Genomic DNA, 23,833 nt, shown 5'->3' with positions numbered 1-23,833 from the left:
TACCTACACTTTAATGGTCAGAATGAACACAACTCTGTGAATATACTAAAGACCATTGTACATGTTAAATGGGTGAATTCTACAGTAAGTGAATTATATTTTAATAAAATTGTTGCCAAGGAAAACAAAAGAATTGGGGATATGGGACTAGAGTTCATGTCTGCTGACATCCAATTCAGAGAAAAAAAAAGTAATATCCTAACTGCCTTAATAGAACTATGATACAAAGTAACAAAAGTTAAAAAGGTATGAACTTTTCTGCTGCCTTAAACCTCAGAAAGCCTACCTTTCTTACCACCAAATGCAATTATCCATGCCATGGACATTGGGTCTGATCAAAGGGTTTGGGGAATTTATCAACAAGAAGGCTTTGATTTGTCATTTCCCTTGAACTGGTCATATTCTGATTAACATATTCATGAATGGTCAAAAATACTTGAAGATGAGTAATGATTTTAACATTCTTCCTGCTAATGTCATTTATGTAATTATGATGACACCATCTGACTTTTATTGCTGCCATCACAGTCAAACCTTGGGGGGGATAGGGGATAATTCAGATATAGTATTCCTCTGCTGTTTCAGAGAAAATTACAGGACAAACCCACATGAGCTCCTAGCATGAGACCACCCCTAGCCAGAGGGCCACACAAGTTGGTTGAGGAGCAGGGTCTCAGGGGGATGGTCCCAGCCCACCTGTGCTCTAACAGCTCTGAGGCTCCCGGTCATAAAGTTAGCCTGTAAATCTTGCACCCTGTCATCCCTTCCAAGCTTTGGAACTGTTACTTTCTGATCCTATATATTTGTGGAAGATTTTGCTCATACCTTGTTGTAATTCTGTGAATTTATTTTCCCTTTAAAGCCAAACCTTGGGAAAGAGCACACATGTTCATTCAGTTATTCACTTATTTACCCAAGCACATTTGTTTATTCACTTATCTAAGCACATATAACAAACACCACATGACTTGGTCCCATGCTATAGATAGTTAGGCCACTACCTTTCCTATGCCATGAAAAGGTTCCTTTTTAAGACTCTCATCTTGGCCAGGCATGGTGGCCCACACCTGTAATCCCAGCACTTTGGGAGGCCAAGGTGGGTGGATCACGAGGTCAGGAGTTTGAGACTAGCCTGGCCAACATAGTGAAACCGCATCTCAACTAAAACTACAAAAAAAAAAAAAAAAAATAGCCAGGCGTGGTGGCGGGAGCCTGTAATCCCAGCTACTCGGGAGGCTGAGGCAGGAGAATTGCTTGAACCCGGGAGGTGGAGGTTGCAGTGAGCAGAGGTTGTGATTGTGCCATTGCACTCCAGCCTGAGTGACAGAGTGAGACTCCATCTCAAAAAAAAAAGACTCTCATCTTTAACAGAGTTGATATTCTGTATTTTCAGGAACAGTGGGGAACATGGTAGAACAATGGGGAGCAAGAATTGCCAGTGGGGTAGAAAAAGGACCAACTCTGTAGACAATCATCTCAATAAATGAGAAAAGGAAAATAGAAGAGAGAGAAATCTCCTCTCTTCTCCTTCCCTGAAAGCAACTGGGTAATCAGGTCAGCTCTGAAGCAGATACATTCTTCAACAAGGCAGAAATAAATTAATATTCTTTCCAAAGTTAAAGAAGCAAAGAGAATCATACCAAACAATTTCTAAGAAGCTCAACATTTTCAAGAAGTTCAAGTAAAAATGGCAGGTCTTTTCAAACACTGAGAGTATTTCAGATTATTCAAAAGTCATCCATGGCTTGATGTTGTGGAGGAATACTTCCTACCTCTCAGCTGATCCTAGCCATTAATTTTGAATTTTTTATTACTTCTTAAAAGATTTCATTAAATAAAAGGAATCATTTATCCAAGTAGCCCAAGAAGATACCCAATTCAACACAGGCCTTCTTAAACTTTATGAGTGTTACCTACACCTTGATTTCTTCATTTATTCTAAAATTAGATTCAGTTTCACAGAGCTGAGTAAGATAGGTGACCTTATTGTAAGAGTGTGAATTCAAATTAAAACACAAAACCAAGAGCAGATGATACCCTTTAATGATAATGAAGAAAAATATAGAAAAATATAAGAAGATGTCTGTTAAATCCAAAATAGATTCTCAATCATATTTCCAAAAACGTCTTCCAGAAGGCTTAAACAGCTGTTCTACAATGGAATCTCTTGGATCAATGATTACATTACATATTCACTTTTATGTTTAGAAGTATGGCATTTACAATTTCTCTACTTAACAATGCACTTATATCTATGTCTATACATATTTGCAAACGAATTAAAAATGTGATTATTTTCCTAAAACTATAAAGTCAGAAAGCATTCCCTGAAACACTTGTCTGGATATGCCTCTGTATGTACTATTGGGTTTTACATATTCCATTTTTAGATTTTTAAGTTCTTTTTATACTTTTTAATGACTATTTTCTGGGTCATTTGATACTCACTAGGCATTATTATGATGTTCTCACATAGGAGAAAACTGAGGCACAGGAAGAATTGATCTCCATATCAGTGACAGAGATAAGAGACCTCTAGGGTCCTTCAATCCTAAGGTAGATAACCCATCCCATATCGCTGCCATGAACACATCATCGTCAGATGGAAATCCATTAGTACTGGAAGAGTCTTATAACTATTGTGGATAACAGTAAACTTCCACATTGCATGTGTGTGTATGTGTGTGTGTCTTTGTATTTGTTGCCTTTTAGTCAGAAGTTTTCATCCTTAAGTTCACAAACTGGCATTTTTAAATGTTCTTGATGAGGAGGATCTTAAAAGAATACTTTAAATATTTCTAAGTGGAAATATTCCAACTTTACCAAAAAATACTATGCAATCAAGTAAAGAAAAATCTCTGTTTTATCTACAGGATACAATCCATACTCCTTGGACTACCAAGATCCCTCAGCTTGTAAAAGTACAAAGTGCCTTTTTAATGTTACTTTCGGTAAATATCTCCTATCCCTGTGGGGTACCTCCCAAATCTGACTGTGCAGCAGATACTTGGTCCCATCCCACATTTACAGAATTAAAAATTATGGAATCTAACTTTTATTAACTTTTATTTCTGATGCAAGGAGCCCATGTGTTGACAACTGTGGATCCATCCAGTCCCAAGACATTCACCTGACTATATTGTAGCCTTCGATTCCAGGCTCTCATAACTTGATGTTGTCATTGTACCTGATCTTATCTCCCAAAATACTACTTTTGTTTCAAGATCCAGGTCAAATATCCCGTCATTCATGAATTTTGGGCTAATTATTTCCACTGCAATTAATTCTTCCTACTTCACCCTCTTAGAACATTTGTGAGCTCCAGTTTAGCCCTAGTTGCTTATCTGCATCTCCTCTCAAGAGAGATATAGACTCATTTCCTAATGGCATACCAGGCACCTGGTGCTCAGTAAGTGTTTGTAGAAGGCTGAATCTAATCATGTGAACAACTTCAGAACACAAAAACTGCAGTTGTTTTTTATGAAGATGGCACAAGACTGATCGGTCTTTCTGTTTCTCCTTTCTCTAAGAATTTGGGGTGATCATAGACTCCATTTGGCTCTATCACTCTTCTCCAGATGTCCTGTTGAGCTTGAGCTCTGATAGCACAGTTTTTGGTTGAAATGGAGAAATGAAGGAAGAGGGAAAGTTCATATTTATTAAGGAACTCTCCAGGCACTTGCTTTGTTCAGATAACAGGGAACAGAAAGGCTTCAAGGTCACATATGATTCCACTTTCTGGTCCTTTATTAGACATATGTATATAACTTTAAGGATGTTTCACATCTTAAAGACCATATTCATTAAATTCTGAAAATTGTTTTAAGTTATATGTGTCAATATGCTTTAGTGTATGCACTTATGAAATAGCTTTTTTCATTTCTTGTTTGTTTGAAGTTTTCTTCCAAAATTAACTTTAAGCTGCTAACAATACATTCATTCAATGCTCAGAATAAAAACTTTGAGTATGGGGTTTAAAAGTACCTTATAGATTTTAAATGTGTAAAGGAGCCACAGCCTTCCTGGGACCAGTTGTTCTGCCAGACACCTGGGTCCCAGTGGTGCCTTGCAACAGATTCCTCCTTTCTCATGGCCACAAAAAGGAGGGCAGATGTACAGAGGGAAAGGCTGGGCAGTTTATAATTGAAAATATAGTTTACAATAAACTAAGACCATGTGCTAAGGTAGAAGCCCTGGCTGGAGAAGAACCTTTCTTGAAAATCCATTTAACACAAATCTACCCACGTTCAAAATACTCCCCAGTTATCCATCTTCCACTAGGGCTACCATTGAATGCCAGCCATAGCCACAACTGTGTTTTCCTGCTCCCACTTTGGTACCCCCAGTGGCAGCTGGAAAAAAACTCCCAGTGACTTGAATGTTGCTGATTTATGAACATAAACATAAATCATGTTCAGCAAACAACTATAACTATGTCCAAAATTCCTTTAAGTTCTCATATTAGGAAAAAGTAAATCTATCCTGTTGACACAATTCAGGGTTTTTCAAAGACATGAGCAGCCAAGATTCTGCTCTTCAACCCTCTCTATCATCCAACATGAAGGGACTACTGTCATTAATAATTGAAGAGTTTCAGGAGGCTGGAAAAGTCCTAACACTCAAATAAAGGATTACATAACAGATTGCAGTCTTGGAATTGTATGTGTTCAATTATTCTCATAAAGTAATACAAAGTAATTATTTTTAATCTCCATTTTATAACTGAAGAAATTGAGGCCCATGGAGGTTAAGTAAGTTGCTTAGGATGCCACAGTTAATTTTTGTCAGTGTCAGAATGATGCTAGATAATGCAGGAGAGAATGAGAGGCAAGAAAAGAGACCTACGAAATTCATTCCTTTCAACCTGCTTTACCCAACTTTACAGCTGATGTCAAAATTGAGTCTAAATGGTTTCCTCCCACATAAAATCTGATTTTCCAGGCTACCCAACCCAGGGAGGCAACCCTTGATTCCCCCAGAAGGTGTCACTGTGGTGTACAAAAGAGCATCCTTTATCTGCTCTAGAAATTGTATCTTCTATTCTTAAGACTTCTACCACTTGTACATACAGAGAACCAGTAGAATTATACAGTGTTACAATTAGAAACTTAGATAATTACTAACCTAATTCTTTACTTTACAGATAAATTTGGGCATAGAAATGTGACTTGCCCAAGGTCATATGCCATTAGGCAGGCAGGACTAGAATGTGATTCTCCTGAGAGCCACAGTCCAGTCCCATCTCTTACTCAGCTCTACCCTCTCTTCTTCTTGCTGTAACTGGTGGCAGGGTGTCCATGGTCCCTTTATCTGCAGCAAAGCCTGCTGCAACTCCCTATATTTTTAAGAATGTAAAAAGAAGTATATGTAAAAAGAAGCATTTTAAAAATATAAAATAAATTAGAAAGAATAACACTGGGTCCTTGCGTACAACACTTCCTTTGAGACCCTGCTGGGTTATAGAACAGTGTGGAATCCTATACCGGAAGGGACTGAGCCATTTGGACCAACACCTTCCTTTATTATTATTTTTTTACTACTAACTGAAATTCAGATTTTTATTGGATTTCAACATTTTTTTACACCAGTTTTTTACACTAATGTCCTATTGTTTCCTCAGGATCTAATCAGGAATCACACATTGCATCCCATCATCATATCTTTTTAGTCTCCACTGGACTGTGATGGTTTCTCAGTCTTGCTTTTTCACCACCTTGACAGTTTGGGGAGTACTGGCCAGGCGTTTTGCAAAATGTCCCTTAGTGTGGATTTGTTCACCTTTTTCTCATATCAGGCAGGAGATACAGGTTTTTGGGAAGAACTCCATAGAAGTGAAGTGTTCTCCTCATCATATCATACTGGGGGACATGCTATTAACATGACTTGTTACTAGTGATGTTAACCTTGATCACTGATCAAGCCAGTGGCTTCTGGGGTGTTCTGTTACTGTTTTATCCCCTTTCCATGCTCTATTGTTTGCATATGAGTCACTAAGTCCTGCCCACACTTATATTATTTGGAATATATCTATAAGAAAGATTTATGACTTCTTCCCCATTTGTTCATTTATTCAATTGTTTATATCAGCACGTACTCATGTATATTTATTTTATATTGTGAATTGTAATCCAATCCCATCCTATTTTGTTGCTCAGATTTGTTTCAGCTCTGACAATTGGGAGCTCTTTCATATTGTCTCCAGGGTACCTTTGGCATTTTTTTGTTTTGAGCAGTCCCTGGCTCTCTGGGACTACAGGATGCTCTTGGCTCATCTCATACTTTCTCTAACCCAGTTTTAGAGTCAGTTATTTCTCCAAGGAGCCAATATCCCTTTTACTAGAGAATGGTATTTAAAAACCAAAATTGAGGCATTGGATATACTTGTTGCTACTGGAACATCACTGCTTCTAGTCTCTCTCAATGGAAAAGCTGGGATATATGTTATATTGTATTGTATTATGTTATATTATATTATATTATATATACAGACACATAGATATAAAGATATATATCCCATATATTTTATATGTAAATATTATATAAAATATATATTATATATGATATATATTTATATACAATATATAGTTATATATTCTACCTATATTTTTATATTTTTATAGCATATAATATTTAGATATTGTAATATATACACTTAATATATAATGTGTATGTATTAAATATATATACACATACAAATCTATATATGTATAACTGCCCATGTGTACACACATGCACAATTATTTCTGAATATATATTAAACTGATAAAAGCTCACACTAATGTCTCTGACTCAAATCCAATACCCCAGGGTTCTTTTGATTTGCCTTGTAGTTATCTGTAACTTCCCTAACGTTAAGAAATCTGACTCCCCACACACCAGCCATTAACTTATCAATACCTCCTTTTAGAGAAAAGCAGGTTGAGGAGAGAGGGAAAGTCACGTGAACAAGGTCACAGCCTATAGGAGTGGCAAACTCTCCTGGCTTCTATATCAGAGGACTGTTCTTAAAGGGTACATTTCTTTCTAATGACTGTACTTTTTCTTCAGCCATGCTTATTATGTCTTGCCTCTCATTTTTTATAATTGTATTGTTTTATACTTGGTAATATCTGATTTCCTCACATGAATATTTTCTCACTTTAATAAATGGTATAACTATAGGTACCCTCCCACCATGAATTTAGAAATGTTGTAAATAAAAACAGCCTCTAAAAGAGAAGCTGGCCAGGTGTGGTGGCTCACGCTGCTAATCCCAATTCTTTGGGAGACCAAGGCAGGAGGATCACTTGAGGCCAGGAGTTCAAGACCAGCGTGGTCAATATAGTGAAACCCTCTCTCTACTAAAATACAAAAAATTAACTGGGCATGGTGGTGCACACCTGTAATCCCAGCTACTTGGGAAGCTAAGAATCACTTGAACCCAGGAGACAGAGATTGCAGTGAGCAGAGACTGCATCACTGCACTCCAACCTGAGCAACAGAGTGAGACTGTATCAAAATAAAATAAAATAAAATACAGAGAGAGACTACAAATCAGTTCAGAATGCAGTGATTAAACAACAGAAGGTGGCAGAATGTCTATAGGGCAGAGGTTTAGGAGGTACTAATCTGGTGAGAAGGGAGTGCTGGGAAGCTTCCCTTAAAGTTTGATTTGTAGCAATTTGTATTGTACATAAAAAGTAAAATACTTGGCAAAGATCCTTTTGTTTCCATTTGACAGAAGATTGAAAAATAAAACAGCATTACCCTGTCAAAGAATATCATTACTGTTTTTAGTTTGGGTGGGTTGAGGGAGGGCCAAAGCCCACCTCCTAAGTTTCCCTCCTCCCAACCCTGAGGTTGCTTCTCAAACTATTATCAATCCCCACAAGCTCACATCACTAACAGTGGATTCTTAATAGAGTAGTGATTGCAGAGATTTTCCATCTGTAGGTTTAGAAATAGAGGAAAGATTTGGCATTTGGAAACAAAAATAAATAAAAACCAAGTTATTTAGGGGAATACTGTTCTAACTTCTGTTACTCTCTTTTTCCCTGAAGTCATTGATATAAAAAGCCAGGTCAGTTATAAGCAAAGAGGTTTTCAGGTCAAATTAACATTTGAGTGCAGAATGGGTCTACCCAGGATAGGGTGGGAGTGAGGTTGATCAATAATGGAAGCATGGGAAGAAAGCATGTGGTGAGTTAAACTGTGCCCCGTACAATGGTGTTTCTACATTCTAATCTTCAGTACCTGTGAATATAAACTTATTTGGAGACAGAGTCTTTGCAAATGTAATTAAGTTAAAACTAGGTCATCCTGGATTACAGTGGGCACTGAACCCAATGACTGGTGTCCTTGAAAGAAGAGAGGACACACACAGAGGGAAGAAGCCCCCCTGAGATTAAGCCAGAGATTGGAGTGATGTAGCTACAAGCCAAGGAATGACAAAGACTGCCAAAATCACCAGAATCTGGAGGAGACAAAACAGGATTCTTCTCTAAAGCCTCCAGAAGGAGTGTGGCCCTACTGACACCTTGATCTCAAATTTCTACCTTCCAGAACTGTGAGAGAATAAATTCCTGCTGTTTCAAGTCACCTAGTTTTTGGTATTTTGCTACCCTAGGAAACTAATACAGAGGGTCATAGAAGCAAACTTATGTTGGGGGACAAGTGAGCCTTGGCCAGGGCACTGATGTTCCTGCAGGGTGATCTCTAAACACAGGAAAAAGTGCTTGAATCTCCCCATCCCACCTCTAAGCCAAGAAACACCTCTTAAATGTATCTAGCCAACTCTCAGGTATGAGTCTATGGGCAACAACAGCTTTCTCTTTCACTACAATAGAGCTTCCCTCAAATATCTGCCTACAGGGAATGAGTGTACTAGCTGTGCCAACAGAATATTCTGGGGTACATGGCAGTGACATTTCTCATTGCAAATTAATAAATCCGTCTATGCACTTTGCTATTAATAATATGACTATTCCCTGGAGAGGCAGACCTTCGTATATGCTGACTAAGTCAGGTTTGAGAGCTTACAAAGCTGAGCACCTGACTTCTGACACCAGTAAATTCACCTACCCGAGAAGCCCCTTGAGACAAAACACCCAGCCTTTGTGACAAATGCATCACTCACACCATATGCAGTTTTTATTCAAAATTTCTACAGAATTGATTTCACTTCCTTCTGACCTCTTCTAGCATGGTTTTTATTAAGGTCATTTCATTTTATACATTGATTTATACTTTGTATTTGTTTCCATAAAGCAGAATCATTATTTTGGACACGCCACTTGGTCTCTCTGAACCTTAGATTCCCTACTGACAAAATGGGTACAACAATAACTGCTCAGCCAATCTCCTTTGGTTCTTGTGTGGATCAAATGAATTAATGTATATGGAAATACTGTTAAAACCATGAAGTAAATGTATTTTATTATTGTTGTTGTAATTACTATTAGCCTTATTTTTCAACTATTTCATTTCTGTAATTTTGTCAATATCCTCAACAAAGTAGAACAGTTAATGCAGGATACCCAAACCTCTTTACCTGTGCAAAGCATGCTCATCTTTCAAAACCTAACTCAAATGTCACCTCTGCTGTGAAGCCTCTACTGCCCTCAATCCTCTTCCGGTTGCCTCTTACAGTATGTGTTTGTACATATGTGTCTTTTTCTGCACCCAGCTGAGTTCCTTAAGGGCAGAAGCCAAGGCTTTTCTCTATATCCCCACAGTGTTGAGCACTCAGTGCCTTCCAGTCAGATGTGTTGACTGACTTAAAGCGGCAAACGTGTGTTAGCTCACAGTCTATGAAGGCCAGGGATCTAAATACAGCTTAGCCCAGTACTTCTCCCTCATGGTCTCTCCTGAGGCTGCTGTCAAGCTGTCAGTCTGGGCTACAGTCATTTGAAGGCTTGACTGAGCTTGTGGATCTTCTTCTCAACTTCAGCTGACTGACTGAATGAATATGTCACATTTATCTTTAATACACTTTCCACTCAGGGCTTTTGTTCTTCTTCTAGTCAAAATAGATTCGACTTCACTTCTGTTGAAGTGTGCTCAGGAGTGCAAATGCAAACAAATCACTAGCATTTATGTGAGTCTGCAGCTAAGAGAAAGTAACTTTTCTACTATCCAATCATGGCCCATTATCTCCTCACCTCCATTATTATGCATACATAAGTGATTGAAGGAAATTTTACCCCAAATTAAGAGTCTTTTCAGCAACATGAGACCAGTAATATTAACAACTATGCTCACTGAAATCAGATAGCTATTTATTTCTATATTTTCTAATTTGCATTTTCTATTTCCTACTACATCAAATCCAGATTCATCTGCCTTTATATACTGAGGAGCTACCCTGTATTTATTAAGCTCCTATACCATGCTAGGCACTGCGCTTGAAGACACAGATGAGGAAGAAGCATAGGGTCCCTAGCCTTACTCAGCTGACAGTCTATGCAGGAAAACAGACAACTTATTATAAGTATTCTCTGGAACCTGATGCGTCAATTTATCCAACCTCATTCATTACTTCCCAACACAAGTCTTTCTACTCATTATTTCTTATGAATTTTTCATGCTTCTCCAATTACCCAAAGCTGCCCCATATCTTTTGAAGGCTACCTAAAATGAAATGTCTTCCATGACATTTTTCTTGAATCCTGATGCTTTCAATAACCTACTGCTTCCCTGAATTTCTACAGCAAATTAGCACTTAATTATGAACTTTCTTGCTTCTTTCTCAAGTTGTTTCGTGTGATTTAGTCATATGGCTCCAACAGATGGAAATTTCTTTCAGGTCCAAGCTCCTCCCCAGTGCTTAGAAGGTACTCAATAAATGCTTGCCAATTGATGGCTAATAAAGATAAAATGTTTACTTCAATGTCCTTGACCAAAATTCTGTGCATTTGAAGCTAATCTAATAAGGCTACTTTCTGAATTAATATTCTAGGTGCCTAAAGCTGAGCCTAATTTGAATTAAAACTTACATAAATTATTTTAATAAAAATAAATGCACAATGCCTTAATCTTTTCTGTACTTAGGATTTACTGGGTAATATTAATAAGTTACTGTTGCTTAGTGTGGAAGCTTAGCAATGGGAATGTTAAATATCCATATCTTTTTATAACTACAAAAAAGAGCTACTGTTATTTGCAGCATTCTTTATGTTTTATTTTTATATTTTAAATAACTTTTAATTGTATATACTTAAGGTATAACATGTGATGGTATAAAATACATAAAAATAGTAAAAATATTACTATAGTGAAGCAAATGAAGATCTCCATCATTTCATACAGTTACCCTTTTTTTGTTTATTTTAGTGACAAGGGCAGCTAAAACCTACTCATTTAGCATTAATCTCATATATAGGGCACTGTTATTACCTATAGTCCTCATGTTGTGCATCAGATGCCTAGACTTGCTTATCCTACATATCTGCTACTTTAAATCTTTATCTACATCTCCCCATTTCCTTCTTTTTGTAGCATTTTTAGATAAAAGACCTGAAAGAGCCTAAGGTCTTAAAAATAATTTGGATTTAGAGTCACACATACCTGGGTAAGTCAAATTCTAACATAAACATATGACAAACTGCAATCACTCCAAGCTTCCATATTCTTGTCTATAAAATTAAAATATTGCTATTGGCTTTTCAGAGTTACTGGGAAAATTACAATGATGTGCCTAAGTCATTTAGCTCAGAGCTTAGTTCACACTAGCTGTGCCTACAGCACATCTACACTTTTCAGTAAATATTTATTTAGGAAAAATTGGAAGTATGTTGACCTCAAGGCAAAAGTCATTGTTAATTATACAATATACCAAAAAAAAAAAAAAGAAGATCCCTGAACATTTTCAAAACTCCTTTATTAAACAAGTTCCCAGGACTGACTACATCTAACAGTGCACTAAAGGAAATAGTGGGCAATTTAGACCCATGGTTTCCTTATAGTTCAGTGGATCATGAAACAGCCTTGAATCAAAGACTCTTACAAAGCAGAAAAGCCAAAAGAAAGAACAGTCAAAGACAACTGAAGGGTCGTGAAAACAAAAGCACTGTTCTCTGGATTCTTTTGTTTCCCATCTTTCTTTGAGTGCAATAATCCATTGTTAGTATGGTTTGTCAGGTTTCCCTTGAACAGTCACATGTTCCATCCACAATACCTATACACTCTTGGTTTGTAAAGGCATTAAAACTCTAGGTACCACTGCCAATTCCCATGAAACATTTTAGTAACAATATTTGGCTTTGAGTTTTAAAACTTGCTTTTTAAAATAATTCTGCTTGCTAACAGCCCACAATATTGAGAAATAGTCTGAGTATACATTTTTAAATTGTATGTATATACGTTAACTACATTTATTTGCAAAAGTATCTACACACTTTAAAAATAGTTAGCTACACTTTGGGAGCACTTTGGGAGGCCAAGGTGGGCGGATCACCTGAGGTCAGGAGATTGAGACCGGCCTGGCCAACATGGTGAAACCTTGTCTTTACTAAAAATACAAAAATTAGCTGGGCATGGTGGCAGGTGCCTGTAATACCAGCTACTCAGGAGGCTGAGGCAGGAGAATTGCTTGAACCTGGGAAGTGGAGGTTGCAGTGAGCTGAGACCACACCATCACACTCCAGCCTGGGGGACAAGAGCAAGACTTACTCTCAAAAAAAAAAAAAAAAAAGGAAAAAGAAAAAGTTAGCTAACGACTAGCCTAGCCTTTAAAAAATATTTAGCTAATGTTCCAAAAGAGTGATTCAAGATGTATCCATATTGTTTGGGCAAATCAGACTAAATTGAAGTCTTTGCTACACTCAATTTTTGGAATAGGTTTGAGCAGTATATTCATTTAAAGAGTAAAGGTTATGGGGGAGGGTCAGGAGATGTGGGTCCCAGTAAGTGGCTAGATTAATTACACTCTGTAGTTGGGAAGAGTGAAAGAAGATGATGATCAACCTAAGGAGTAGAACTACCATGGAAAAGGATCCTGGAAGAATATGGGAGTGGGAAAAGATGATCTGTGTTCTGGGTGTGACAAGAATGACATCAAGTCAGAATACACAGATCAGCCCATGTTTTCATGCTGTCAAGGGGAAATTGTAGAGAAGGACTGAGGGATTGGCAGAAATATGATCAAGGCAAGCTCTCAGTGAGGAGGATTCCTGTTAAGACCTCAGCCCTGGATACTAGTTGATTTATCTCCAACCCTCTTAAATCCACCCCATGTAAGCTCATGGCATTCTTAGGGTGATATGCAAAGGAGCTCATGGATCATGCTCAATTGATTTGTGCTCCTCAAGAAACTTTTGCACAGTTCACAAGAAATAGAAATTGTCCATAATAATTTGTGGATCTAATGGGGTTCTGAATCTTATGGATGGTGATGGGATCTTAATTTGGTGTTTCTGGGTTTTGGACACTGTTTTGGGAAGTGTGGGCTGACAAAGTAGGGGTAACATTACCTCAATTCCAAAAACCACAGGTGGACTAATCAAATACTGCCAGATACTGTTGTGTTTCTTTGGTAAACAAAGGGAAATTGAGCAGTGCCCCCAAACTAGGAAAATCCTTTCGAAGCTCAGACTTGATATGCTATAAGGGCTTAGCCAGTCATGTAGAGTTCTGTTGGAACAGAGGTAGGCTGGCCTAAAAGGGATTCTGGTGAGCTATGTGAAAATGCCCTATTACGTGTAGCCACAATGATATGTGGCCAGTTGGCTGAATAACCTAACAGGAGTAAGTGTTAAGTGTGCCCTGACCATCAAGAAGGATGGAAATGAGGAGATCAGCATGCACTGCCATCATATTCTGAAGGAAGTGAAAGAGAGTGCCAGAGGAAGCCTCAGAAGTAGAATTCCTAAGATTTGAGGAATAGCTCGGTTGTATAACATTGACAGTGTGGACATCAAAGACCCTCTGAGTGTAGGTCACAGTAGACTGTCCTGTACCCCTTTACATTGAAGCAGAATTGTCTTCAATATTGATGTTGATACAGGAACATCCAGTTAGCCCTTGAGGAGAAGGCTTGGATTTTGTTTACTCCCATATAAGAATCTTTCTAATATAATACAGTGCTTCCTACTTTTTAGTAGTGACCAAGTGCATATCTTATCTCTTCCCAGGAGTAGAAGGGGCTCTGTGAATGTGAATACAGGGAGCTTTTCTAATTTACCTTGAATCCCTTCCACCTTATCAGATCGTGATTTGAAAATATAATAGTACTTGAACAGTATATATTTAAGAAGTGGACAACAGAGAAAGGAAGAGAGGGAGATGGGAGAGTGGAGAAAACAAACACTATTATGCTATTTCCCATGGCCAGAGAGGAAGCAAGAGAGAGAAACTGACAAAGTCAGACTCTTTTTAACAACCTGCTGTCTCAGGACCTCATCCATTCCTGCCACAACGAGAAGTTACTCACTCCTGAGAGAGGGCATTACTCATTCCATGAGGTACCACCCCCAAACACCTCCCACTAGGCCCCACCTTCCAACATTGTCATAACTGGGAATCAAAATTTCAACATGAGTTTTGATGGGGACAAACCATATCCAAAACATAGCAGGGCTCAATATGACTGTCATTCCACCCACTGCAACCCATGCCTCACTCTTGTGTTGACATTGTCCTTTAAAGAGAAATGATCAATAAATCAAATTAACAGGCCAGAGTAAAATTATGAATTGTAAATATTTACCAGAGACCAAGAAAGCCCTCCAATGTATTCTAAGAAGGAAACAAAATGGGAAAGGCAAAGAAAAAAATTTAAGCATAAGATAAGCTACTATCTTAATGCTACCTGCATAGTTTATTATTTAATTCTTAGAAGACATGAACATGTTCAATTCTATTGTGTTGGAACATACAGACAATATTATTCCTTAATTGAACTAATTTGAATAAGTAAGTGTGTGGAACAAAATCTGTCTTTGGAACATAAGAATCAAAATGGCATCTGCATAGTGGTAAAAAAAATAGGAATTGGAAGCACACATCTACCTATCAGGATTTTGAGAAACAGATTCATCCTGAATGATAACCACTGGTAAGATTAGCTATAAATATTAGAAAAACAGATTTAAACTTTTAAAATAAATATTAACTTTGCATAAAAACATAAGTTCACTTAGACTATGATTTGTGTCATTAGTAGTTTAAGCGGATTAGCCACCTGTACACTTGAAGATCCTTTACAAATTCTTGCTCCTAATTTTTTTTTCTGAATATTTTAAGTGTTTTGGAAACTATGTAAAAGGCCAGTCCAGCTTATCTTGCTTCATGCCTTCATCCCTAGCTTCCACCAGCAGCAGTCAGATGGATGAGTTTGCCCAATCACTAAAAGGGACAGTTGGAACACACGACTGACTGATGTTATGCAAAATGTCAGAGACTTTTGAATCTGATCTTGGCATAACATGATGGAAACTTTCCAAATCCCAGGACTGCAGAGAGTGTACGATCACCACACAAAGGGACTGATGTGTTGCATATTGAATTCAGGCAATGATTACATATAATTGTATCATTACCATCATTACCTAGAGTGAGATTAATGGAAGCAACTATTCAGAAAAAAAAAAACAAGAAAGAAATTAGCTTTGAAGTAGCATAATGAAAGATTTTAATTGTGGGAAAAATTCAGTCACATTTTTAAATTGCTGGTTGTGATTCCATCAAACTCGCTAACCCCACGACTTATTCACTGCTTCAATGCATGTGTTTGATTTCATTTGGCCACACAATGATTAACAAAGGTCAGATATCCACAGAATATAACCTCACCACAAAGTGAATAAACCCACATGTCCAAAATGTATATTTTAATAAATGGGCAGAGGTAATTGGAAGAACACCTATGGACAAAACAAAGAAAAATGAACTGTTTTGGCTTATCGTTTTTAAGCGTCATGGAAATAAACACATGGATGGTATAACTCCTGTTAGAAGCAAAATAATATGGTACAGACAAGGATTATATATGTTTCATATCAACTTGGAAACTAGAGGTTCCTAAGATAATGGTTCAATTTTATTCAAATGCATCCATATGATTTGCATACGAGGATTCCATTGGTTGTTTCTTCACCTGGAGCTGTGTGCTTTTACCAACAGTACATACGTGGTTTTTACCCACTGTACATGTACATAAGACATAAGACTTTTTTTCTTTCTTGACTGAGCATAGGGAGATGTTCCAAACTATGGGTTATGCAAAGGAAGGTACTGGGATTGCAAATTGGAAGGAGCCTGGAGATTCACTTTTCTCCCCTTTCCATCAGTGAAGCTTCTCTGAGAGTTCAAAAGGGAGCTCTTGGAGGGGTTATGAAGAGATTCAGAACCTGAGACCTGGGAATGGATCTGGACACTTAGTTCTGTACCTAAACTTAGCATTTGGTAATAGGCCATGGTTTAGATATTGTTAAAATATAGACTTTTTGTCAGTTGAGTTCAATCAATATGTCAATTAATATTAAATCACATTCACATACTATCTAAAGTGAAAAATAAATAATCTGAATTGTGGGTTCCTTCGTATTGTCCCTGTGTTTGCTCTAGAAATTTAGAAGAATAAAGAGCTCCATGTTCTCTAGCCTGGTAAACAGGATTAGTAGTGTTCATCCTACCTATTATAGAATACCAACTGCCCACTCCTTATATGATGTAGCAGTTTTACATATTTCAAGTCTTTCCTACATATCTGTTTTTTCAAAAGCCTTAAGAAGTAGAAAAACCTGGAACCACTACCTACTTTCATAGAGAAGGCATAAAGCAGAAAAGTGGCTTGAGGTCAAACAGACAAAGACTTGCAATCATTCCTCATTACTCCTAGTTCAGAATTTTTTTCAAAAATGGCACTTAGAACCACATGGAAATAAGAACCAGTTTCAGTGATGAAATCCATTCACACTGAGCCACGTATCCTATGTGGTCTGAGCCACCACATCTCCCTCTAGAAAACTGCAGTAATACCCTCAATGGTTTCCTGTTTCTACTCTTTCTTAGTCTCTTTTGTATCCTATAGCCTGAATGATCCAGTCAGATGGTATTCTGATAATGTCACCTCAACACTTAAAATCCTTCAATGACTTAGCACTTGCTCTTAGGAAGAAAGGCTAAAACCCTTAAACGAGGCCCACTTCCCTTAGATTTTGATGTACACACCACCTTATCCTACCAACTACTCTCTATAAACTAGTAACCCTTCCCCCAGTCATTATCCACCTCACTCTGTCTGTTTTGTTTTCTTCACTACATTTATCACTACCTGACATATTTTATATTTGTCTGCTTCGTGTTAATTATCTGCCTTCCTAGGACATCACTGGCTTTGTTCACTTCTTTATCCCAGAATAGCACCTCATAGCAGATGCTTGGCGTTTAGTGAAATAAGGAATGTATGACTTCCCTGTAATGCTCTGCATGATCTAGTTCCTGCCCGCCTCTCCAGCCTCATCTCACAAGCATTTGGTGGCTCTTGGTTCTCCAGGCCCACTATTCTTCTTCACGTTCCTGGAATGTGACAGGTTTCCTTCCTTCCCATTGTTCCTAAGCCTGGAATGCATTTTCCTCCAAATCCTTCTCTAAGTATTGCTTGTTTCTCCCACTAGAGTGCATGTTTTATCCCAGCAGGATATTTTTCTCGTTGTTGCTCTGCCCACTTTGTATCAGTAGTACCTGGTCTGTAGAGTAAAGGCACTGGGATGTAAGGTTCCTGTTTCTTTACATCCAAATAGGTAATGTGTTTTTCTATTGAATTAAAACCATTCAGTGTTTTACATTGACCGGTTCATATTTGGAAGTGCCTGAGTTAATTGGGCAAAGTTAGGCAATCCATAAACTGCCATAAATGGAACCCCATTAGCAAATTGCCCTCTCTATTTATGTAGTTAATAATGGCAAGTTTGGTGTGGCTTTCACAAAGCTAAATGCTTTTAGTGCAAATTATGTGACCAGATTCTCAAAGCTTCTAGAATAAACCACATTGAAAACATTTATTAACCCTCTAGATTTAGGTGAGATAAAATTGGGCTTGTAATATTTAAGTTATTATAATTGCAGCATTTTTTTTAGAAGGGAAGAACTCTATTTAGAAACTGTAAAAGTCAATCTTCATGTTGGAAGCTACACAAAAGTGGCACTTCTCCCTGCTTTCTGTTACGAATGGCACAGAGGGTCTCCTCACATTGTCTGCGCTCGTGTTAGTGAACAAGCAGACTGAAAAGAAGACTTGATTCTAATTCAATCCAGTACTACATTCTCTACTAGTGAACTAGCAGTAAGCCCCTCTCCTACCAGTGGGTCCATCTGTGGCAGTTCCAAAACCAAGTCAGAATTAGCAGCAGCTCCTTTGATATTTAATATACGTTGACAAAAGGAACTAATCAGAAATGCTCCCTACTTCAGAGTAAACAAAGGATAATTTCTCCCCAAACCAACCAATTAATCAATAAAAACAATATTTCCACTACTTTTGAACAATTTTGCCTAATGTTATCCCTATTTAGAATAAGAAATTTCACTCTTGTCAATCAAATTAATGAGTATTCTTAAATTTTTGGTGTGTGTTTGCAACTGACACATCATCTCCCTGATAGCATGGAAATTAACTGGCAAATTTGGATTCCAAAAATAGTTGATATGTAGATAAATGTGTCCTAAGGATTCAGAGCAATGGACGGAGGATAAGGGAGTGGGTACAGTGAGAAAAAAATGGCTTTGGAGGAGAGACTGACCTGGAATAGACATCCAGTTCTGCCGCCCACTAACTGAGAACTCAGGAAATACCATTTGACTTGTCTAGACTTCTGCATTCTTCTCTGTAAAATGGGACTAACAGCATATCAAAGTCATGTTGTGGTAGAATTAAAATGTGATAGTATAAATTGAAGGGATAACATAAAGTCTGATATAGAGTAAGCACTTAATAAATGCCGACCCCACCACCAATAGTAATTTACTAACAGTTTCAGAAGGAATTTCAGGCACTATAGTTTTCAGGCATTATAGTTGGACCCATGTAAAAACTAACCAGTATTTTTCTTCTGCGTTTTAACCAACAAAATCATTCATCTAAAAGTGTTCTGTATCATGTTATCTATGTTAGGCAAAAGGCAACAGCTATATAATTTATATGGTAAATTTAGATGGGGAAGGGCAGTGTAAGAAGAGATTTTTTCCTTTAACAACATCTAAGACAGGGAATATAAACTTGGCCATCCTATTATGAAGGCAGGGAAGGCAGCCACCTAAATGACATGATTTGCAAGTCTACTCACTCATTCATTCAACATTTACTGGGTTTGCACTATGTGCAATTCACTGTGTTGTTCCATGGGGATAATGTGAGTAACACCTGCTACCTCTCTTCCTTGATGGAGCTGGGTATAATGGTGGAGAAGATATTAATCTCAATTAAGGTATTAAATAACACTGTTTAATATATAATTAAACACTGAGATAAGACCTCTGATGGAAGAGAGCAAGGAACCGAGAGAACATACGACAAAGGAATTCCATTTGGGATAAGACATCCAGGAGGGCTTCCCTGCAGAACAGTGCTTTGCATGATGGACAAGGAAGGTTAGCTGGCAGAGCCAGCAAACATCACTGGCCTTCTTCTCCTGGAAAGTTGAACTCCTGGGGAGTTCAAGATATAGCATCTCAAAGCCTCTTGATTCCCCCAGGTCTAGTTGGTTGCTTCCTCCTCTGTGCTCCCAAACACTCTCGCTATGCTCTGCTTAAAAGTTTGCCATAATGTAATTGTCTGTTTATAGCTTTTTCCTCACAGGTAAGGCCAGGATGCTGTCTTGCTTTCTGTAACATCACTGCTCAGTCCCAAGAACCCAATGGGCACCCAGAAAATGTTTTATGAATGAATCTACGCCTCTCTAAGCCTGATGTGATGCCTAATACTTCCACATAATACATGTATTTTAATTAAAAGTCAAGAAATTTGAAGAGTAGTTTTTTTTCTTTCCAGTGGTGGAATTCCGTACAATTTTATCTGATTATTTGACCTTTTATTCTAGTTACAGCATTGTTTATACAAAATATATGATTTTTTAAAAAGTCTATTAGAATACAGGACATCAGACACTAACACCTCTGTTTAGGTAACTGCTGTGATAAATTTTAATAACCTAGAAAGATTAAAAGGGAACAGAATCCTGGACAACAAAGTTTTGATTTAGGGAAGTAAACCTGCTACACAATTTTGTGGTAATAACCAAGAAAGACTTATAGATTCTTTACAGCAATGATTAAACTGAAACTGCCAGGAAGTTTCATAAGGCTAAGTGGTACTTTGTCATGCAATAATAATTCTGTTTGGTTCAGCAAAAATGCAAGGAAATTCAGAGGACTTTTCTCCTGCGGAGGGTTCTGCATTTCTGCTCAATCAGAGATAAACAGTATGGGCCTGCTTACCTCATAGTGTCCTGTTACCTAGCAACCAACATGTCCAGGCATTACAAAGATGGGGGCTATATGAATATACACCCTTATTTTCTGTTAACAATAGATAGGATAAAATGAAACGGGGAAAACAGCTATAAATCATCATCATCAACAACAAAATAATTTCTAAAAGTTAGCTTTAGAATGAACACACTATCAAAAAATGTAAAGCTGATCTGTATGTGATTTCAATGGCCTCCTAGTGCTTGGTGGGGAGCATACTTCCTGTGTTCCTAAGTCTTTTTTAATATCTAAAATTTTAAAAATAATAACAGGAAAATTATGATGGTAATTATAATAATGCATTCCTTCATATCACCACTTACTAAATGTTATTATTTATAGTGAAGTTCCTTTGCTTCTATTACCATAAATAACATTTATATAAGAGAAATTGTTATACCCTGTGGAAAAATAATATTTCAAAGCTCGTAGACTACCAACCATTTCAACTGACTTTACTTACACTCCTAGGTCAATATAGCTTTTTTCAATTAAAATTTTTGAAGGTAAAGAGAATGCAATCAAGCAGGTAACAGCAAAAGTTGAAGTGTGGAAGTGAGGAGGTTACTATCGGAAATGAAGAGGAGTATGTGAATCTATCACCAGCTGGTAAATTTAACAATAGAGTCACCGATGAAAGAATGGGCAAAAAGGATGGGGCGAGAAAAACAGAGGAAAGGAACAGAGTGTGAGATTCTTAGGGTGGAAACAGAAAGGGGATAATGAAGGCAGTGCCCAGAACCGGTTTCCTAGTGAAAAGGTTAATTAAATCTTTCGTGGCATGGAATTCTTAAAGAACTACTTTTCTGACTGTGTGTGCATATATTCATGTGTGTTCTTTGTAAACACACAGAGATGATAATGATTCTCTCCTAACGTCCTTTTTACACTAATGCTTTAGAGCATTTTTTAAAAAGGACAGTAATTTACTTTTTTAAGCTTCTTACATGTCGAGCGGAAAGAATTTTAACACAGCTGACCTGCAAATAAATCTTACGAGCTAGAGTTCTCTTTTCATTGTTCTGCTTTATTTTCTTCAAAATTTAAAGGCAACAACAAAGAAAGTAAATCTTATATCCTTATTAAGATTAATGGCAAAATGAATGAACGCATATAAACAATAGAAGGGACAAAACCCACAGGGCTCAGGAGCTTTAATACTACCCCAAAGACCATGAGGCTGATTTCTAAGCTGAAGAAATGATTATAGATCATCCCAGGAGTATGCCAACCAATAAGACGGCAGCAGCACTATTTGTTTTCTGCCTTTTGTGTGTTTCTTAACGTTAACCTTGCCAGGCTGTCACACAGATTCCAGCAGCCTGGGGCAGTTTGAGGGCTCTGAGAGGGAGGGCAGAGTTTTTGATGTCAGTCTAAAGGGCAAAGGCTGATCAGTATAGTCAAGAATACAGTCCATTCAAGGCTTGACATGGTGTCTCCATTATTGTTACCCTTTTATGCCCATCTTTGTAGTTTATACCCACTTCCACTGGAAGGTAATACACGCAATAAGTACTTCCTTTTGTTTGTTCTGTATTTAGCCTTACCCTTGACTTTAAAAAGCATTTGATTTATTTGTTTTCAGAATGGTGGCGTATTATGGCTACTGAAATAATTGCTGTTGATCAGGCTACAAGTTGTAGAAGAAAAAGTATTAATATACTTGCTCAACGAGAAGCCAGCCTTTTGAGACACTCCTGTGCTTAAATGGAATGCGTTCATGTGGAAAATCAAAAACAACAGAGTGTGGCAGTTTCTTCAGAAAGAAATTTTTTTTCTTCTCTATTTTGTCAGAAAGCAAATGCAAGAAACAGGAAAAAAAGGAAAATCTGTCATAGATATCTCATTCTGCCCTCAAGTCTTAGGAGAAGTTGCCAGTAGTTTCTTCCCCAAAGAAAGGCATTTCTTCCTTCTTTACCAGTAAGAGATGAGTTCAGTTTGTGAAAACTGAGCAGGATGAATGTATTTATGGGTTGAACCAAAATAATAACAATAGAAACAATAATAATAAAAAATATATATAAAAAAAGAAGCATCACAGAACCAGGGATGGCAGAACAATGAAACATAGAATCTGCTATAGTAATTTTTACTACTGTGTGATCCCTGAAAATTTTTTCAAGTTTTTTAAGCCTCACAACAGCCTCAAGAACAAGCATTTTAATATTTAACCACTTCTCTTTTTTTGTAATGTATGCACACTTACTTTCTCATAATTAGGGAGTAAAGTTAGTTTTAACATTAATGAATTCACTCTGTATTAGCTCTGATGATACCACCTGGATGAAAGAATGGACAATATTTATGATTAAAGAATTCATTCAAAGATAGAAATTTAAAACCTTGGCATTAAGAGACAAGAATTAAGGCCCGTTTCATAATTTAAATGCATTATGCCACATCTATTACAAAATGTTGGCTGAATGTATTTGCTGTTGAATTTCACTATTTCTCAGAGCTCTTTGAGCTACATTAAAAAACTATTAGAGGATTTATTATGTTCAAGTTTCTACAGGAAGTAGTTTGGGGGAAAAAAAACAAAGATATCAAAAATGCTGCTCTATCCTTAAGGCATTTGCTATCTGGTTAAAAAGATAAAATTTATAACCCCCAAGTGATTTCAATTCAAGACAAAAGGACAAAAGGAACATGATCTCCAGGAAAAGATCATTGGGTAAGTAAAGCAGAGCTGGCTTTACCTCCTAAGCTGTGTGAATTAAGGTCCACTGGCTCCTAAAAGAAAGCAAACCCAAGAGAAGAAGGAAACAAAAATCAATAATCAAGCTCCTGCTGATCTCACGTTGCACTTGGGACAGGGTGATGTCTGGTTCCAACTTGACCCTTTTCTTGTGCACCCACTGGGAACTATGACCTCTCATAGGAAGACTGATTTCTAAGTTAAGGAAATAATTATATATCATGTTTCCCAAGTCGTGGCCTCAATTTAATCACTTGAAAAGTAAAATAACCTCATATCTTAGGAGCTAGGACTTGTTTGTAAAAATTTCTGAGATATAAGTCAGATATTTTGGGTACAAGTCATTTACATCATTTACATGTGAGGATACAATTTAACAGATTATGATATAAATAATTAATCTGTCTGATTTGCTATTACTGTCAATAGTACTTATCCTAAAAATAGTGGTAGACACCATTATTAGGAACTTACTATAATGATGCATGCCTTCCCGAGTACTTCATTCAATTCAAGTTAATTCTCTCAAAACCCTATGAGGTACTACCACTATTTCCACTTACAAACAAATAAATATACTCAGAATGGTTAAACCTGAGACTCCAAAGTTCTTAGCTGAGAGAACTGGGATTTGAATCCATTTCCGCCTCTGTGGAGTCTTCCTGTTTCCTGTTCCATTGTTGAATCTAG

At 37.3% G+C, this 23,833-nt stretch overlaps 1 protein-coding gene across 4 annotated transcripts in view, besides 1 other annotated feature; it reads right to left on the bottom strand.

The window, feature by feature from the left end:
* Positions 1 to 23,833, bottom strand: part of DCC (DCC netrin 1 receptor) — a 1,195,703-nt gene that overhangs the window by 835,946 nt on the left and 335,924 nt on the right. The gene's annotated exons all lie outside the window — the stretch shown is intronic.
* Positions 17,274 to 17,775: an enhancer, noted in NCBI's record as "NANOG hESC enhancer chr18:50208549-50209050 (GRCh37/hg19 assembly coordinates)". NCBI's record gives its function as "activates a minimal SCP1, AML or CMV promoter by ChIP-STARR-seq in primed H9 embryonic stem cells {active_cell/tissue: H9 hESC(primed)}" and the evidence as "EXISTENCE:reporter gene assay evidence [ECO:0000049][PMID:30033119]".

The sequence above is a fragment of the Homo sapiens genome, chromosome 18 (assembly GCF_000001405.40).
Source record: "Homo sapiens chromosome 18, GRCh38.p14 Primary Assembly".
Classification (NCBI taxonomy): Eukaryota; Metazoa; Chordata; class Mammalia; order Primates; family Hominidae; genus Homo; species Homo sapiens.
This window is presented reverse-complemented; position numbering and strand designations above follow the sequence as displayed.